At 44.5% G+C, this 20583-nt stretch overlaps 1 long non-coding RNA gene across 1 annotated transcript in view, besides 2 other annotated features; it reads left to right on the top strand.

Moving 5' to 3' along the window:
- Positions 3840–8608: an enhancer, noted in NCBI's record as "VISTA enhancer hs2185". NCBI's record gives its function as "enhancer in: heart[4/6]" and the evidence as "EXISTENCE:transgenic organism evidence [ECO:0001131][PMID:17130149]".
- Positions 7875–20583, top strand: part of LOC105377731 (uncharacterized) — a 29006-nt gene continuing 16297 nt past the window's right edge. The window contains exons 1-3 of the long non-coding RNA XR_941237.3: positions 7875–8283; positions 12454–12601; positions 19446–19564. This is a non-coding gene — a long non-coding RNA (uncharacterized LOC105377731). The remainder of the gene's footprint in view (positions 8284–12453; positions 12602–19445; positions 19565–20583) is intronic.
- Positions 11459–11659: a silencer, noted in NCBI's record as "peak5581 fragment used in MPRA reporter construct". NCBI's record gives its function as "represses an SCP1 promoter by STARR-seq MPRAs in K562 erythroleukemia cells {active_cell/tissue: K562}" and the evidence as "EXISTENCE:reporter gene assay evidence [ECO:0000049][PMID:32103011]".

Here is a 20583-nt window from a genome sequence, read left to right on the forward strand (position 1 = left end):
CTGAGGTGGGAGGATCGCTTGAGCCTGGGAGATTGAGGCTGCAGTGAGCCGTGATTATGCCACTGCACTCCAGCCTGGGCGACAAAGCAAGGCTCTGTCTCAAAAAACAAAAACAAAAACAAAAACAAACCAACAACAACAACAACAACAAAAAAAAGAGAATGTGATGGCAACAACATTGGGTGAGTTCCAGAGCCCAGATCTCAAGAAGCCTTGCAGCTTCCACCTTCACTCATTTGGAATTCTGCCCTGAGACCATGTTGCAGCAAAGTTAGTCTAGCCTCCTGGAGGATGAGAGACTACATGGAAGAGAACTGAGGCCCCCAGCCAACTGCCAGCACCACCTACCAGACTCACGAGTGAGGGCATCTTGAATTTTCCATCCCAGTTGACTTTCCAGCTCAGATTTCTCAACCTCAGCACTATTGACATTTAGGGCCAGATAATTCTTTGTTGTGGAGGCTCTCCTGTGTAGGGTTTGCAGCATCCCTGGCCTCTACCCACCAGGTACCAGCAGCACCTACCAACAGAGTCCCCAGTCATCCCTGGTTGAGAACCACTGTTCCAGTTGAATGCAGCTGAATAAATGAGTTCGTGGGGAACCAGCTGAGGAACCACCCAGCCAACTCACAAAATCATGAGCCACAATCAACCACTGTTGCTTTAAGCCAGTAAGTTTTGGGTTGTGCAGAGGTAACCGAGCGACTTCTCCTCTAGCCATTTCTTTCAGAGCTCTTCTTCCTGCCCTAGCATCACAAATTAAGAAGACTAGCTGCTTCTTTGTTCCACTTTTATATTTATCATTTGATCTTCCTGTGAAATAGCTGAACAGACATTTAAACATCTATCCTCTCGGCAGAGAAAAATGAGGAGCAAGACCTTAAATAATTGCCACATAGCTACTCAGAAAAGCCAGCCTTTCTGATTCCTAGCCCAGTGCAACTCGGATCCTGAAGTCAGGCTGCCTGGGTATGAACCTTACTCTGCTACTTATGACAGACATGATCTTGGGCAAGTCACTTCACTTATATGATCCTCTGTTTCCTCTTCTATCAAATAAGGAAAGTAATATCACTCACTTCATGGGATTTATTATGAGGTTTTAATGAGATGGACAACAGATCAGCAAATTTTTTTCTGGTGAGGGGTACACAGTAAATATTTCAGGCTTGGCAGATCCTATGGTTTCTGTCACGATTACTCAACTCTGCTGTTGTAGGTGAAAGTAGTCATAGACAGTATGTATTCAAATGGATATGGCTGTGTTCTAATAAGACTTGATTTACAAAATCAGGTGGTGGGCTAGATTTGGGCCATGGAGTGTAATTTGTTGCCTCAGTGAGAGAGTATGGAAAGATCTTGGCCATTGCCCACTGCCAGAGAAGCATTTGATAAGTGATAGCTACTGATGATATCATACTGTTATTATTACTTTATTATCTTAGCAGTCTTGTTCTTCTGCTTTCCTTTTTTTGGAGACAGGGTCTGTGTCACCCAGGCTGGAGTGTATTGGTGCAATCATGGCTCACTGCAGCCTGGACCTCCTGGGTTCAAGTGATCCTCCTACCTCAGTCTCCCAAGTAGGTGGGACTAAGTGCCACCATGCCCAGCTAATTTCCATTTCTGTACTTCCTCTCTCAGCATTGCTATTTTGTTCCATCTACTGGAGTGTGAGAAAAAATTCAGTTCCACTCTGGCCACCTGTGGTAGCCAGCTTCCAAGACGGACCTTGGTGATTCTCAATTCCTGATATTCTGGAAGGATAGGAGGCCACATGGAGAACTGAAGCTCCTACTCCCCTCCAACAGTGAGTAGGACTGACCTGGTAACCAATAGTGTATTGTAGAAATGACTGTGTATGAACTCTGACTAGTGTTGGCCTCAAACTCCTGGGCTCAAGCAATCCTCTTGCCTCCCAAAGTGCTGGGATTATGGGTATGAGCCACCATGCCCAGCCTCTTTATTATTAGTTGATTTTTCTATATTTAATTTTTCTTTCTTTAAAAAATACTGCTTTGTATTCTTTGTGTCTTATTTATTTGCTTATTATTTTTTACTGTGTTTTGGACATTGCATTTGAAAAATTGCTTGCAGAACTAATTATAGGCTTCAGATGATGATATTTTCCTCCTAAGAAGATTTATGTTTGTCTCTGCTAGGCTCCTGGGGCACCGACAATTTAGGTTTACTGAAATCTAATTTCGGGGGTTTAGAATACCTGAAGTGGAGCCATGGTCTCTGCAAGGGCCTGTCTGCTTCTGGGTCACATTTACTTGTAGGGAGCTTCCCTTTAGAATCCCAGTTCAAGATGAATCTCAACTCTAATCTTGGTAAGCTTCACATTCGTCCCTGCCCCTTTAGCCCCGTGAGGCTCTTGAAAGTCCACCCAGCCTCTCTGCCAGCCATGGTAGAATTGGCCCACGCTGCCAGGCCCAGGGTAGCTCAAAGGACAGACTCACTTCGCACGGCTTCCTCCTTCCTTTGGGTCCTGGCTGGTTATTCTTCACTATTTTGTAGCTCTCTGGTGTCTTTAAGCAGTTCGGTTTTTTTTTTTATTTTGAATAATTATCAAATTTATTAAAAGCGTACAACAGATGCTTATAAACAGCAGCAAAATAAGCTGATAATCTTTTTCATTTCATCTGACCAATAAAATTCTCACAGTCTATACAGATTTTTCTTTCAGTTTATTTTACTTTTGTATGCTTTAGTGACAAATCCTTACACCTGAGACAAAGTGATCATCATTTAAGAATCACCATCATCATAAATTATTTTACATTTATTTTATTCTTTTACAGACAGGGTCTTGCTCTGTTGCCCTGCCTGGAGTGCACTGACTATTCAAAGGTGCCCTTCTAGTGCACTGCAGCCTTGAACTCCTAGGCTTAAGTGATCCTCGTGCCTCAGCCTCCCATGTAGCTGGGACTACAGGTGTGTGCCACCACTCCTGGCTTATTATTTTACATTTATTGAGATGAAGGGCAGGTTAATTTCATTATTTACTTTGAATCGATTAATAACCCTCAATTCTAAATGTGCTGGGCAAAGTAACAGAGAGGGCTTGACAATATCCCTCTTCATTATGTATTCCAAGACATTTCGTGATTTTTTTCCCATTTGTCTGATTTAGGATTTACTTATTCTGCAGCATTCCCAGTTGTCCTCAGTGGAATGGAGGGCAGTCTGAATTACGTACTTTGCTATTACTGATAATGGGAGTTCACCCTTCCAGATTTTATTAGTTCTAGTCTCAGCATGGTAACTAATTACTTCTACGACCTTGGGTTGAGGTTGGGCACGGTGGCTCACCCCTGTAATCCCAGCACTTTGGGAGGCCGAGGTGGGCGGGTCACTTGAGGTCAGGAGTTCGAGACCAGCCTGGCCAACATGGTAAAACCCTGTCTCTACTAAAAATACAAAAATTAGCCAGGTGTGGTGGCAGGCGCCTGTAATCCCAGCTACACGGGAGGCTGAGGCAGGGAGAACTGCTTGAACCCAGGAAACGGAGGTTGCAGTGAGCCAAGATGGCACCACTGCACTGCAGCCTGGGCGATAGAGCGAGATTCTGTCTCAAAAAAAAAAAAAAAAAAAAACTTTGGGTCACATGTGCTTTTCTTTCTTCATTTGTCAAATTAGATTGTTAACACTGGGCTTACCTGCCTCCTGGATTATTGCAGGAGCAAATGGGATAAGCTACATGGAAACCTGGAACCCAGTGTAAATGTGAGGTGCTAAAGCCCAGGTCCTACACCCTAGATTTCCCAAGGCATCTGAGCCCTGTGGGAAGGAGGGCCCTTGTTGACTCCCAGCCCCAGGGTGCAGGTGCCCAGAGCAATTTGCATCAGGTGGTCTCTTTTGTTGCTTTCTAAACATCAGGCAGGTTAATGGTACACCATTCTGCAAGTCAAATCTTGAATCTGGATGATCAGGTGAGTTTTTATCGTACTTTTTCTCATTTCTTTTCCCCCATAATTGCATTTCAGGAAGCGTCCCCGGGTTAGTTCTTTTTCTTTAGTTTTTGTGTCTAATAACTTTCCGTGAGCAGACCCCACAGTGTGCAGCAGTGAGGATCCCTGGACTTGGTTAAAAGAAAACCTCCAAACCTTGACCTCCCTGGGCAGCTCAGCCTGCCACCTGGCAGGGGCCCCTCTGGGGCTCACACTTGTTTTGGCCTTTGTGAACTGCGCAGAACCAGGGCTGACCCTGCCGAACTGTGGATGTGTGGCCAAGACAGGTCCCAGTGTCCTGCCCGGGCTGTGCATGTGAGGGAGGCGGTGATGCAACGTGATGGCATTTGTGACAGGGTGAGGGAAAGAGATTGCTGGCTGGGGCTTCAAGGGGTGTGATTAGATTACGGCGGAGTTGCCTGTTTGGCGGAGATGGAAGACTTGGTTCTGTTCATTTCATAGGCAGCGGATTCCCGCAGTTTCAGACTGGCCAGAGAAATCCATTTCTGGAGTAGTAGGCAGAAATGTGGAGCTGAGAGGCTCATTCCACAATGCTTCCCTGAGCTTTTGCTTTTTACTTCTTCACTTTTTTTCCTTCTCTGGCTTTCTTTTTCTAAGCTCGCACGCTTCCACAATGCTAAAACATCTGCTAATAAAGGTTTTATTAGCAGCTTTTATTCCAACCACCTGGAATCCAAAACCCAAAGGTTTTATTCCAACCACCTGGAATCTTGTCAATCTCAGCTTATATTCCTTCTCGTCTTCCTACCCACTCATTGCTTTTGTTGTGTATTTAAGTCCTTTCAGGGGCAGGGAGCAAAGGGCTTGGGGGCAAAGACATTGGGCTTTGGTGTCAGACTCACCAGATTTGAACTTTGCTCGACCACTTTTACCTGGGTGACTTTGGGCAAGTTAATCAACTTCCATGAGACTTAGTTTTCTCATCCACAAAAAGGAGAGCATCTTATCCTCTAAGCTGTTTTGAGGGCTGCATTAAAGAAAATACATAATGTTTGAAAAATAATTTTTGGCACTTAGCATACATTCGATGAATGGTGATTTCCTTCTCTTTTTATTCTCTTATATGTATTTTTTGGTTGTTCTCTGTTAAGTATTTCAGGAAAAAGGTTTTGATGCGGAGTAAGAGACTCAGATATGGTTAGATTGCACTATAGTTAATATCCCACCATAGATCCTATGTCAACTGTCATCTCTGATCTCAGTCCGTTACCAAGGATCTTAGTGGGTGAGCAGTGTCCAAGCCAAGGCGGAAGAAGATGGGATCAGGAAGAGGCTCTACATAGAACCTTGTGGCGTTCACCTGCAGGGTAAAGTAGGGAACCAGTGTCATCTTCTGTTTAGGGCTGGACTGCAGTGGTGCAGTCATGGTTCACTGCCACCTCAAACTCCTGGGCTCAAGTGATTCTCCCACCTCAGCCTCCCAAAGGGCTGAGATTACAAGCATGAGCCACTGTGCCTGGTATATAAAAAATATATACATGCTTGTATATATTTTTTAAGTTTTTTTTTTTTGAATGAATATCCTAATGTAAAATTTCCTAAACCTCAGTTGCTTGCCATAGTCAATAAAAAGTCATATTATTCTTTATTTTATGTGTTAATTGAAATGTAGTATCAGACAATATTTAGGTGTGTTGCTTTTTATTGTTTTTCTGTATATATATTTTACATAGTTGAGATCATATTGTATGCAATTTCTGTTCTGATTTTTCATGTTTGAGATGGGGGTCTCACTGTGTCGCCCAGGCTGGAGTGAAGTAGAGCAATCAGAGCTCACTGCAGCCTCTACCTCCTGGGCTCAAGCAATCCTCTTTGCTTAGCCTCCTGAGTAGCTGGGACTATAGGCACCTGCCACCCTGCTTGGCTAATTAAAAATTTTTTTTTGTAGAGAAGGTGTCTTGCTATGCCGCCCAAGCTGGTCTTGAACTCCTGGGCCCAAATGATCCTCCTGCCTTGGCCTCTCAAAGTTCTGGGATTACAGGCATGAACCACCATGCCCGGCCTGTTCTGATTTTCTACCTAATTTAAAATTATACGCATTTCCTCATATCAGCAAATATTCTCTTCAAATTTGATTTTGGGAGCTGAGGTTCCTGTGGTGGCCCAGGGTGGCATTACAACTTCATGGGACCCTCTTTGGACAAGGTCTCTATTGCTGGTGAGCTGATGGGACTCTGAGGTGGGCAAGCTGTCCACCCACTCCATTTGCAGCACTTGAAAAATGTTCTTTTCTTTTTTTTTTGAGACACGGTTTCACTATGTTGCCCAGGCTTGTCTCGAACTCCTGGGTCTAGTTATCCACCCACCTCAGTCTCCCAACCATTTACAACTTCGAGTTTGGGGCTCAGAGATTTGTGCGGCTTATGTTTTGCTTTCACTGAAATACTCATGACTGATCTTTATGATCTTATTAGAAGTTGAGAGCACAGTGACTTTCATCTGTGGTTGACTAAAGGAAACACTTGTTTAATAAAGTGACGTGAAACTCCAAACAAAAATAACATTATTCATAATAAGCTGCGTTCTCTAATCTAGAGAATCAGAGAACAGCCTCTCAGAAACCAGTCAAGAGTCCTGTTCATCCCCACTCCTAGATTGCATGTAGGTGACACATGTTTCTGTTTCCCCTTCCTTCTGGTTTGTTCTGGGCGGTTCCTCTCTCCTTTTCCCACGTATAGTAACGCCGGTTCTGTAAGGAATCACATATCTTGGGTGCTCACAGGAGAATTCCTTCTGAGGCCCAGCTCTCCACCCTTCCTCTGGGCACCTCTGCGGCCTCTCTGTCTTAGGGTCCTCACGTCGTAGCTCAGCCCAAGGCGGCTCCAGTGCCGGCCAGCTCTGTCGGCTCTCTGCGTCTGAGAGAGAGGGTGCCTCATGACCCATCGGAAGGGATCTGAGTGCCCACAGCCTTCAGAAGTGCAACTAGGAAGCCAGGTCACTGGTGGCTGGGGATGGCTTGTCCATCAGCTAGCAGCCAGACAATCGAATAGCGCCCTACATGGGACAGGAGGAGCGCCTGAGCTCTTCACGCCATCTCCGCCAGCCCTCATTTAATGTCTTGTTGGAGCATAATGACTGAGGACAGCAAAGCCCAGTGGCTTCTCCCAGACAGTTTCTGGTCACCACAGGAGTGGTGGCTGCGAGCTGCCTTCTGGATCCTCAGGGGTAACTACTCTGAGTGGCTAGTGCCTCAGAACTGAAGTCAGAAACCTGGGGTTATGGCCACAGATCGACCACCCTGGTGCTCAGGGCCAGATGTAAGAGGAGCCTGGGAGAGGCCCTGACCCTCCCAAACTAGAGGACAATAATATACTCATGATGATAATACCCAGAGGTTAAAAAAACAACCAAACCCCGAACTTAGATGATCCCATGTATATCATCACGTGTCTCAACAAAGAGCAGGGAGACCAGGTTCACATTGCTGGAAGCTCAGAATTTTCATGGTGCCTCTAGAAAAATCATCCCATCCCAGGCCAAGCTGTGATTAGAGGTGCTTTTCATCAGGTCTCTTTCTTCCAGTTGCTCTCCGCTCTCCAGCTTTGTTCTGGCTTAGACTCTCAGCCCAGGCCACCCAGGGGCAGTGGCCGCTGAAGGGGGCAGCCCCGCAGCTGCTTCCTCCAAATGCTCTGGGATTCAAGGCCGGGTGCTGGGTGATTACACCGCTGTTATCTGGGATTAGCTATTTTCACTCCCTGTATTTATATCATGGAAGCTGCAGCGTGATGCTGCCAGATGCCAATGTGGGCAAACTTCTTCCTTTTGGACCCACCTGCTGTTCTGCTGACACCCGGCAAGGTGGCAGTTGGTGGGGACCAGACCTGCCAACCCCTCCTCCACCCACTTCCCACATGTCCAGAGCAGTGAACTGCGTCATTGTGAGAGACTCAGGTCAGCAGCAACAGGCGAAGGCTGGACACAGACTTGGGGGCGGGAGGGGTGGAGGGCTGGCAGCAGTCCCTGCAGAAGATGCCTGTCACCTCCCTAATCCCCTGAAGTCTTCAAGTCTAGGAACCCTCTCGCCTGCCCTCCACTCCTGCTCCACCCCGACCCACGTGTATCTCCCTGTTGCAGTGAGGCGTTCTGAATGGCCCTCATTTTAGGCAGCTCAGAAAAGTGCCAAGTGCCTGAGAGTCCCAAATGTAAGTGCAGAGGGATTAAAAGGCCCTGCTGCATTTAACTTGCTCCATCTTCGTTTCCATCTCGCCTTCCATCCCTGTTTTTTTTTTTTTTTGTCGTTCCCTGGAGGAGGTGGGAAGATCCTGGCTTGTCAGCTTGTCTTTCAGGAAATGGACAGGATTTTTTTTTGAAGGTATGTTCTATCTCACTGGGGCTGCACTAACTTACCTCAGCAAACTTCTTAGAGATGCAGAGACTGTAGGTGGGATTTGCCCCCAGCCCCTGGTGCATTGAGGGAGGCTTCTCCCACTTGCCTAGGAAGGTTGCCTGCAGGCTCACTCCCTTTCCTGGGCAAAAATAGGCAATGCCAGGTGTTGGCTGTGCCTGCCTTGGGAGCTCTGAGACCATCACATCAGGAGGAGGCTTCAGATGCAGCCCCAGGGATTCTGCCCAGAAAAAAACAATATGTTTGGTGTGGCCACTGGCTTCTCATACCCCACTGTGGAGCTCTGTCCGTCTGGGCTTCTCTGCCCAGGCTCATCTCTCAGGGCAGAAATCTCAAGGGTGACAAGTTAGCCCTCCCAGGTATGTATTAATTTTTTAAAAATCATTTATTTATTTGTATTTATTTATTTATTTTTGAGACAGGGTCTTGCTCTGTCACCCAGGCTGGAGTGCAGTGGCATGATCATCGCTCACTGCAGCCTCGAACTCCTGGGACTCAAGTGATCCTCTGAGCTCAGCCTCCCAAGTAACTGGGACTACAGGCACATGCTACTACATCTGGCTAATTTTTTATTTTTTATTTTTTTAACAGAGATGGGGTTTTAATTTGTGGCCCAGGCTGGTCTCGAACTCCTGGGCTCAAGTGGTCCTCCTGCCTCGGCCTTCCAAAGTGCTGGGATTATAGGCATGAGCCACCACATCTGTGCCCCCCAATTTTTTTTACCCTAGCATAGAGTTTCCTAAACCCCAGTTGTTTACCATAGCCTAGATAAGATAAATACTGTATCAATAAAGACATAAAAATATAGATAATAAAAATAAACATATTAAAGAATATATTTACTGAAAGAATATTTTTATTGACATTGATTCACCTTTTTCTTAACCCAAAAACTTATTTTAGCATTGCCTCAAGTATCCAAGTATATGTCTTAAGTATCCAAGTAAGAGTATCCAAGATATCATGGGTTTGAGGCCCTAGTTATTTTTTGTCTTTCTACACTTTAAAGTAAATACTAACTTTAAAAAATCCAGGTACTGGTCCGGCGCAGTGGCTCACGCCTGTAATCCCAGCACTTTGGGAGGGCAAGGCGGGCGGATCACTTGAGGCCAGGAGTTTGAGACCGGCCTGTACAACATGGTGAAACCCCGTCTCTACTAAAAATACAAAAATTAGCCGGACGTGGTGGCAGGTGCCTGTAATCCCAGCTACTCGGGAGGCTGAGGCAGGAGAATCACTTGAACTTGGGAGGCGGAGGTTGCAGTAAGCTGAGATCCTGCCACTGCGCTGCAGCCTGGGTGACAGAGCGAGACTCCATCTCTAAAGCAAACAAACAAACAAACACAAGCCCAGATACTATCATGCATTGGAAAATGGCGGCCTAACTAAATGAAAGACGGAAAAGTGGAGAATTCCAGTCGCCATGGCGCAGGCATGGGTGGGAGGGGGCAGACACGTCTGCAAGGGGGCTCAGTGGTGGACGTGGCTGGTGGAGGGGGCGTGGGTCGATGAGGGGAGAAGTGGCAGAAGAGAAACTTAATTGGCCGGAAAAGGTAGAGCAGCATCTTATTTGGGGAACATTCATTCCTTGGGCTGAAAAGGAGAGATATCATTGAAGTCCCAATTGGCTAGTACAAAGCTTCTGCCTTGGATGTGGCTGTCCAACCAGGAAGGCTTACTAAACCCAGCCCCGTCTATACTGGGAGTGAAAGTCACCTGGGGCAAGCTGAGCAGAGAGGCCAGCCAGTGAAGTGGCTACCCGTGGCTTTGGCACCTATGGGCGATTCCTTCTCCTACCCCCAACCTCGACACTGCAGGCAGAAGGGAGCACCAGTGGGGAGGACTAACGAAATGGCAGCAGCAAGGCCGAGGCCCAGGAGTTCCTGTTTCCAAAGCAGAGAAAAGGAAAATGCAACTTCGGCCTTAGGCTCAGGCCACTCCCACTTCACTGTTCCCCTTCCGCAGGAGGGCCCTCGGACCCCTCAAGTGCTTCTGGAAGCAGGCCGGGGTTTGTTTCTATCCCTCCCTCAGCCAACTCCCTCCCTTATTATGTAAAGAATCACAAGGTCATTGTCATTTTGGGAAATAGAAAGCAGAAGAAAAACTAATTTCGCTAGTTGACAAAAAACACTGATAATATTTAGGTGTGGTGCTTTTCATTCATTTCTCTAGATGGATATTTTTTGAGACAAGGTCTTGCTCTGTCGCCCAGGGTGGAGTGCAGTGATGCCGTCATGGCTCACTGCAGCCTTAATCTCCTGGGCTCAAGCGATCCTCCCACTTCAGCCTCCTGAGTAGCTGGGACTACAGGTGTGTGCTACTGAGCCCAGCTAATTTTTAAAATTTTTTTGTAGAGATGGGGGTGGGGTGTCACTAGTTTGCCGGGGCTGGTCTTGAACTCCTGGCCTCAAGAGATCCTCCTGGCTCAGCCTCCCAAAGTGTTGGTATTATAGGAGTGAGCCTATGTATGTTTTTTTATATAGCTGTGAACACATGGCCTGCAATTTCTGATCTAATTCTTACACTTAATATGAAATTATAAGCATTTTCCCCTGCCTTTGAATGTTGCTTACAAATTTTTTTTCATGGACACTATATATACCATAATACATTTAATACTGGTAGCTAAGTTTTGTGTTTTTTTGTGCATTAAGGATTCCATTTTTTTTTTTACTATTATAAATAATGCTGCAATTAATTTCTTTGGTCATATAGTAAAAGTTTCAGCTGTTTTCTAAGGATAGATTCCCGGAAGTGGTACCAGTGTAGAGTGTTGGTGTAGAATGTAGAAAACTATGTTTTATGTAAATAAGGTGAAATATAAGCACCTATATTTGTATGTATGTAAATAAATTTTTGAAGAATCCACAGAAAACTAATGACAGTATTTATCTGACCACTGAGGGTGGGATGGGATCCAGGCAGGGAAACAGGGTAAAGAAAGACGTCTCACAGCATACATTTTTGCTATTTTGAGTTTTGAAGCATGTGTATCTATGACTTATTAAAAAATTAAAAACTAACGACAAACTCTAATTGCTGCTTAATTGTAGAACTGAAGCAGGAGTCCCTCTATAACTGGCTTTTGTGTATTCCCTGGCATGTCCAGCGCCATGCATTCATAATCAACAGTCAGCTCTGTTTCCCTGGCATGTCCAGCACCATGCATTCATAATCAACAGTCGGCCTCATAAGACACCGTAGGCTCTCGATAGCTGGGTGAAGGCAGGAAGGCAGCTCGGCTCCACTAAGACATCTAGGGCCCCAGGCTCCTCCTATCTTGTTGGTCACCAGCCTGTGTGATGGGAGAAAGAGAGATAGTTGAGGGTAGGCAATTTCCTTTCCAGGAAGAGATGTGGGAATCAGACACATCAAGTCTTCTCACTGTCATTGGTGAGGACTTGGTCAGGGACCACCCCTAACTGCAAAGAGGTCTGGGAAATGTAATCTCTGCTGGGGCAGCCAGGATGCAGCCTGGGGTTTTATTATTAAAAAGAAGGGGAAAATGAGACTGGGGGAAAATGAAAGTCTTCGGCCACGGGGACTTTTAAAATAAAAGAAGGGCTAGAAGGGCCGGGCGCGGTGGCTCACGCCTGTAATCCCAGCACTTTGGGAGGCCGAGACGGGCGGATCACGAGGTCAGGAGATCGAGACCATCCTGGCTGACACGGTGAAACCCCGTCTCTACTAAAAAAAATACAAAAATTAGCCGGGCATGGTGGCGCGCGCCTGTAGTCCCAGCTACTCGGGAGGCTGAGGCAGGAGAATGGCGTGAACCCGGGAGGCGGAGCTTGCAGTGAGTCGAGATCGCGCCACTGCGCTCCAGCCTGGGCGGCAGAGCGAAACTCCGTCTCAAAAAAAAAAAAAAAAAAAAAAAAAAAAAAGAAGGGCTAGAAATTGTTGACTGTACCAGACTATCTTGCAGTCTTTTATTTTAGCTAAACTCATACAACTCTGTTACTATGGGAATAATTGAAATGCTATAGTAGTAATGGTATTATTATAATAGCATTATCTCTGTTTTCCTGTAGTTATCACTCAATAAACTGCCTTCTCTCAGGTGAGCACTCAGTTGTAACATCCAATTATTCGATTTGGCAGTTTGTCAAATGACATCCCTGTCATATACTTTCTTAGGTGCTGGGTGCTTACAAAAAGGGCAAAGGATAGAGCCGCTGCTCCCCAGACGACTCAAAATGACTTTCATGTGGAACACAGGAGGAGTGAGAAGGGCCTCCCATTTATTTACCATCTACTAAGACGTTGTGTCCCTGTCACGTACCAGGTAGGAATTATTAACACAGAAGGAACTGAGGCCTGAAGAGGGGAATAATTCACTTAAGGTCACCAGCTTGGAAGTGGCAGAACCAGGTCAAATTATGTTGCCTTCAAAGCCAGTGCAAACAATGTACAAAGTGTTGTTAAAATGATATTGCTCAGGCTGGGTGCAGTGGCTCACACTTGTAGTCCCAGCACTTTGGAAGGCTGAGGCAGTAGGATCACTTGAGCCCAGGAGTTTGAAACCAGCCTGGGCAACGTGGTGAAACCTCGTCTCTACAAAAAATACAAAAATTAGCTGGGTATGGTGGTGTGCCCGTAGTACCAGCTACTCAGGAGAGTCTGAGGCTGGAGGATTGCCTGAGCCCAGGGGGCAGAGGTTGCAGTGAGCAGATATCACACTCCAGCCTGGGAGACAGGGTGGAAAAAAAGAATCTTGCCCTATCACTTCCAGCCACCCAACTAATCCTCATCCCCACTCCCAGAAACAACATCTTTTAGCCTATTTGCTATTTATTCGGGTATTTGCTTCAATATTTCCAAGTAACATGTATATTAAGCTATCTCTTGATTTATCAATTGTGACCATTATTGTTTGACCTTCAATTATGCAAATGAAGATTTTATTCCATGCATATTTTCTCTTTCCTTTTTCTTCCAATAGAACTTATTATTTTATAAAATGTTTATACAGTATTTACATTATTATGGCATTGTAAAAACATGGTTCAACAGTATTCACCATTGAACCTGATAGTCTACTGTGATTAAGTTTCCTTTCTTGTACAATTTTTCTATGTGCTTGGTTTTCTTTGAATATCTGACTTGCTCTTCAACAGCTCTGCTAGCCACTCCATATCATTTTCTCTATGGTCAAACCATCAGATAATGCATCAGTTCAGTCTTTTTCTTGAAGAGCCTGCTCTTCCTGATCTATAAGCTTTCTGCTTATCCTGGTATTTTCATTCACCCATTTCCTGGGAAATCTGTTTACTTTTCTCTTCTGTTGGTTCCTTCTTCTCCTGATTCTCTGCCTTCTTTGTTTTCCTGGATACTGTCCTTCAGTAATTTTCTCAGGAAGGGTGTGCAAGTGGTGAATTCTTGAGATCTTGCATGCTTACAATGTCTTAATTTTGTCTTTTCGCTTGATTTATAATCTGGCTGGATATAGATGTTGAAATTCATTTTTCCTAAGCTTTTGAAGTAAGTTCCCTATTTTTCTCTAGCTGTTGAGAAGTCTGTTACTATTTTATTTCTTGATATTTTTGTATGTAACTTGGCTGTTTTTCTTTTCTTTTCTTTCTTTCTTTCTTTTTTTTTTTTGAAACTGGGTCTTTCTCTTTGGCCCAGGCTGGAGTACAGTGGTGTGAACATGGCTCACTGCAGCCTTTAACTCCTAGGCTCAGGCAATCCTTTTGCCTCAGCCTCCTCAGTAGCTGGGATACAGGTGCATGCCACTATGCATGGCTAATTCTTATTATTTTTATTTTTTTGTATAGATGGTGTCTCACTTTGTTGCCTAGGCTGGTCTTGAACTGGTGAGCCCAAATGATCCTCCCACCTTGGCCTCCCAAAGTGCTGGGATTATAGGCATTAGCCACTGTATCTGGACTGGCTTTTTTTTTTTTTCTCTGTGGATGTGTTCAGTATCTTTTCTTTATCTTTGCTGTTCTGAAATTTCAGAATTATGTTCCTTTGCATAGTTATTGTTATCATTTGTTATGTTGGAGGCTTTGAAGGCTTTTAAAATCTGGAGATGCATGCTTTGCAATTCTGTAAACTTTTCTTGAATTTTTTTGTGATAATTTCCATTTCACCATTTTATCTGATGTCATTTTCTGGAATTCCTATTACTTAGATTTTCATGTGAGGCTTCTCAAATTGCTTCTCTAATTTCTTTTCAATCTTTCCTTACCTATTACCATCTTTTTGGCTCTTTATTTTGCAAGGGATATTTCAGGAGGATATACTGAACTTTATGTTTATCTAAGCTTTTTATTTTAAATATCCTTTATCTTCCTCTTATTGAAGGATTCGTTCATCTCAGCAATAAACAAAAATTTTTACTCAGAGCAATTTCTCGTTCTTTGACTTTTCCTTTTTTATAGTATGCATCTCCTGTTTCATGGGAGCAATATCTTCTCTTATCACACAGAGAATATTAACTATGATTCTTCGATGTTTTTCTGAGCTGTACATGATCTCTCTGTGCTCTGAGTTTCTTCATAGTCTTTTATGTTTGGTCTGTCTTTCATGGTGGTATTCTTCAAGATTATGGGGATTCTCGTTTCTCGGTTTATGTTTAAATCAGAAGCTGATTGGAAGCTCTGTGTGCTCCTTTTCAAGGAGATATAATTCACATACCATAAAACTCACCTCTTTTTATAATCCTTTGGATATATACCCAGTAATGGGATTGCTGGGTCAAATGATATTTCTGGTTCTAGATCCTTGAGGAATTGCCACACCATCTTCCACAATGGTTGAACTAATTTACATTCCCACCAACAGTGTAAAAGCATTCCTATTTCTCCAGCATGTATACACCATGGAATACTATGCAGCCATAAAAAAGAATGAATTCATGTCCTTTGCAGGGACACGGATGGACCTGGAAGCCATCATTCTCAGCAAACTAACACAGGAACAGAAAACCAAGCACTGCATGTTCTCACTCATAAGTGGGAGCTGAACAAAGAGAACACATGGACACAGACAGGAGAACATCATACCCGGGGGACTGTCAGGGTGAGGGGCAAGGGGAGGGATAGCATTAGGAGAAATACCTAATGCATGTGGGGCTTAAAACCTAGATGATGGGTTGACAGGTGCAGCAAACCACCATGGCACATGTATACCTATGTAACAAACCTTCACGTTCTGCACATGTATACCAGAACTTAAAGTAAAAACAAACAAACAAAAAATAAAGCAAACTCACCTCTTTAAGTTGTACAATTCAGTTGCTTTTAGTATATTCACAATGACTGCATTACCACTATCTAACTCCAGAACATTTTCATTACCCCAAATAGAAACTCTGTACCCATGAGCAGTCACTCCTCCCTCCACCCTCGCCCCAGCCCCTGGAAGCCACTAATATACTTTCTGTCTGTATAGATTTGCCAATTCTGGATGTTCCTATAAATATAATCAAAATAGAATCATACAGAATGGGGCCTTTTGTGTTTGGCTTCTTTCCCTTAGCATGATGCTTTCAAGGTTCCCCCATATTGTGACACGTTTCAGTGCTTCCTTCCCTTTGATTGCTGAGTAACATTCCACTGTAGGATAGACCCATCTATTTATCCATTCATCAGTCGATTGACTCTGTACTCTTTAAAGAGGTTTTTCAAACAACTCTTGTTTTCATTCCTGTTCAATCTCTATCTCACGTGAGCACTCGATGCCTCCTATTTCTGAGCCTTTTCTGGGGCTCTGTAGAACAATTTGTGGGCCCTGCCACCCAACCCTGAAGACGCTTGTGTTTGCCTTGCTACTTCTCCGCTGAGTCATTTACATTTTTCCAGTGCTTTTTATCTTTCTATGTTGGAATTAAGCGTTATAGACGCCACGCCTCCTGGGTTCATGGAAGATGTAGTCTGTACATCTGTTTCTTCTGCTTCTTGTCCTTGTGAGATTGTCAAAAGGAAAATCTTTATTCCCTTATCTTGAGACTGGAAGCCCTCCAATGCATCTCTCATTAGGCTGTGTCGATTCTTTATATTTTTTATTTTTTAATATGTAATTTAGACATTTTATCTAGAGATGGGGTTACCCAGGCTGTTCTCAAACTCCTGGCCAGAAATCCCAAAGTGGTGAGATTACAGGCATGAGTGACCATGCTCAACCTGTGCAACTTCTTTTCAAGTACAGTGTGTGGATCGGATGGTAAGTGCTAAAATGAGTCATTCATGTAATCAATTCATTCAATGCAAACGTATTGACCACCTATGTCTGGGCATTGTACTGGGAAATCAGGTGACAATAACAGAGACACAGTCCCTACCCTCAAGGAACTTCTGTGTTAGTGAGAGATCTAAACAAGCAAACAGACCATTGCAATCTAGTGGTAAGTACTAAGACGGTAAGTTCAGAGAAGGAGGGCACATAGGTGAGAGTACTTAACTCAGACTTGGAATAAGGCTTTCACTTTCCAGAATACTTCCACACATTCAGAGGAATCTCACTAAGTTCTAAGATGAGAAAGCAACCCTTTATCTGTCCTTCCTGTAGTCTCATAACATCTTTCTTTGACATGGAGAGGCTCCCTCAACCGTCCCCGCTCCCTGCAGCCCCTGGGAGACAAAGATACTCAAAACGCCAATGCTGCTTCTGTGGGAAGTTGGCCTGGAGCCTGGCCCTCCTCTGGCTGCTGCGTAGACACCATTCCAGTGATGAAGGCTGGCACAGGAGGCCCCTGGGCAGGGTTCAGGCTTCCAGACAGGCCTGGCCACGTGATGAGTGGTTGCGTGGACAGAAATGTGTTTTGAATCCAACTCTTGTTTGCCGGGTTTATTCTCAGTGCCTGAATGTGCTAGAAGCGAACAGAAGCCAGGATGAGGGCCTCACCCCAGAAGAGCTTGAGTTGTCAGCGAGAATAAACCTGGGGACAGAAGCTAAAAAATCAGGAAGTGTTGTGAACCGAGATACATGACATCAGAGAGTGCTCTGAATGCAACTGCCATTTTTATTTTTCAATATTATACTTTTATATCTTTTCTCCTTTTCCCACGTTCTGTTAACGTAAGATGATAGGGAATCAATTTTGCATTGATATTAGTCCAGGTTAGGGAGGCGGCAGGGCCCAGCTAAATGCCTGCGTCCTGCTCTGGGCCTCTAGAGAGGTGCTGAGTGGTGAGGGGGCCTGGGTGGACGCTGGGCTTCTCCTCAGCAGGGAAGCACTGCCAAGCTAGAGAGGCTGGCTGCATTCTATCTCCCTCCAGGGCAGAAATAGACCTGGGGGAGGATGCATGCTGTATGAGCCAGATTTGGCCACATATATTAGGAAGACATTTCTAATCACAAATGTCTTAATGAAAGAACAAAATGCCTCATGGAGCAAGGATGCACCTTTGCAGTTTAAGTGGAGATTGGAAGCTGTTCTAGGGGTGTTGGTCCTTCCAAGCCTTGACTCTATAATCTCAATAATAATTAAAGAGCAAGTAATATCTACTGAGTGCAAACCATGTGTCACTTTACATATATTAATTTACTTAATCCTTACAACAGCCCTGGAGCTAGGCATTATTATTATTGGCCCATTTTACAGATGAAGGGCCTGAGGCGTACAGAGGTTGCCGTGAAGTTTTTGTTCTTTTTTCCATCAAAGTGGTCTGCAGAGCGAAAGCCATTCTATTACAGGGGTTGAAAGCCTGAGCTCCAGTGAACTTGGACTCTAGAATTTGTCACATTCCCAGCTAAGTAAGCTTGGGAAGTTCCTTCCTGTCTCTGAGCCTCAGTGTTCTCATCTCTGTAATAGGCACAATAACAGCGCCTTCCTATTAGTGCCCTACCTCTTCTTTTTCTTTCTTTTTCTGTCTGTCTTTTGAGATGAGGTCTTGCTGTGTCACCCAGGCTGGAGTGCAATGGCGCAATTGTAGCTCACTGCAGCCTCAACCTCCTGGGCTTAAGCGATCCTTCCGCTTTGGCCTCCCAAAGTGTTAGGATTACAGGCGTGAAACACCACACTCGGAAAAAAAAATCTTTCCTTTTGGCATATTCGCAAACACAGTCTTCATGATGGCCTGTTCTCAGGAGTTCTTGGGAACTGTGGATTGAATCGAGCTGCGTGACCCTGGAACTTTTACACGTGGGCAGGGACTCAGTCTGTGCCAGTGGGCTGTGTAGGGTCACCTGTTGATGCTGAGAGGCAGGAAAGCGAGAAAGGAGGAATAGGTGGAACAAAAAGAGCCAGAACCCGTGAGCATCTTCCTGAGACCTTCCCTTGCCCTCCTGCTAACTGAACGCTTTGCTTTCACCCTGGCAACAAAAATGCCCAGGTCTGCTGGCATCACACATGTCAGATATCACACTGTCACCATTATGATGCAGATGAGGGTCTCCAGTGAAGGCTTTTGTTTTCTGCCTGGTGTTTAAGGCCAAGCCCAGGTCCTGCCCTTCTAGGCAGTTCTGGCTGTGTATGTGCGGGAAGAGCATATGCATTAGTAAGGGACACACTGGGGTCCAAATCCTGGCGTGGCCACTAACAAGCGATGCAGCGTCAGGCCAGTGACCATTTGTGACCTCTAGTTTTCATCTATGAAAGGTAGAAAGCAGCCTGGGCAACATAGTGAGACCCTGCCTCTACTAAAAATTAAAAAATTAGCCAGGTGTGATGGCATGCACCTGTAGTCCCAGCTACTCGGGAGGCTGAGGCAGGAGGATCACTTGATCCCAGAAGTGTGAGGCTGCAGTAAACTCTAATCATGCCCCTGCACTCCAGCCTGGGTAGCAGAGCGAAATTCTGTCTCCAAAACAGAAAGATAAAAAGGGTGGAAAGCACCACGTACTGCCACATGAGGTTGTTGAGTGCATTAAATGGGATAATGTGTGTGAAGTACTCAGTGTAATGCTTGGCACCTAATACATGGTGAGGCTTAATACTTGGCAAAGAATTATTATTATGTCATAGGTAGATAAACCAAGTTGTTCAAATAAGCGGTTATTATTACGCGATAGTGTCTCCTGCCATTTTCTTCCATTCTCTTCCCTTCCTGGTGAAATTCTGCTTTTCTATAGGAAACAGAGCTAACTTAAGAGATGCATACATTCTTCTTTTCTAATGTGTTTTTAAAGAGTCCACATTTTCTGAGGAGCTTTCTGGAGACCATCTGTATCTTCATTCACAGGAGTGCCTCTACTCTGGACATCCAGGGACTTCGGAGAGCTGGAAGCATAAGGACTGTGCAATGACAGAATCTGTGTTTTCTACCACACCCTGCCTGTGAATAGTCCTAATATTTAAAAAGTGAGTAAACGGCCCGGCACGGTGGCTCACGCCTGTAATCCCAGCACTTTGGGAGGCCGAGGCAGGTGGATCACGAGGTCAGGAGATCGAGACCATCCTGGCCAACATGGTGAAACCCCGTCTCTACTAAAAATACAAAAAAAATTTAGCCAGGTGTGGTGGCGGGCGCCTGTAGTCCCAGCTACTTGGGAGGCTGAGGCAGGAGAATCTCTTGAACCTGGGAGGCGGAGGTTGCAATGAGCCGAGATTGCACCACTGCACTCCAGCCTAGCGACAGAGTGAGACTCCTTCTCAAAAAAAAAAAAAAAAAAAAAGTGAATAAACAATATGAAATCAACATAGAAGGAGAAAACAACTCCTAGCCCTATGACCTCAGCAATTCAATTTTATTTGTTTTCCTTTTGTTTCTCCTACAAGTACATAGAATTTTTAGATATCTGGAATCAAAATATTGAATATGTTTTTGTGTTCTTCCTTCCATTTGTAGAATTTTCCCAAGTTACTGCGTAATCTTCATTATAATTGTAAATATGCATTCAAGTGGATGCATCAGTTTATTTAGCCATCACTGTTATTTATGTTGCTTATAATCTTTTTTTTTTTTTTTTTAATTATACTCTTAAGTTTTAGGGTACATGTGCACATTGTAAAGGTTAGTTACATATGTATACATGTGCCATGCTGGTGCGCTGCACCCACTAAGGTGTCATCTAGCATTAGGTATATCTCCCAATGCTATCCCTCCCCCCTCCCCCGACCCCACCACAGTCCCCAGAGTGTGATATTCCCCTTCCTGTGTCCAAGTGATCTCATTGTTCAATTCCCACCTATGAGTGAGAATATGCGGTGTTTGGTTTTTGCATCTTTGCAGACTTAACTATGAATAATTTTTAAGATTACAAGCCGCTGCTTGTAATCTTAAAAATTATTCATAGTTAAGTCTGCAAAGATGCACATAGTTCCCCCATGCACCTGATTTATTTTGTCTCCCATTGAGACCCATTTATATTTTCAGCCAG

The sequence above is a fragment of the Homo sapiens genome, chromosome 5, assembly GCF_000001405.40.
Source record: "Homo sapiens chromosome 5, GRCh38.p14 Primary Assembly".
Classification (NCBI taxonomy): domain Eukaryota; kingdom Metazoa; phylum Chordata; class Mammalia; order Primates; family Hominidae; genus Homo; species Homo sapiens.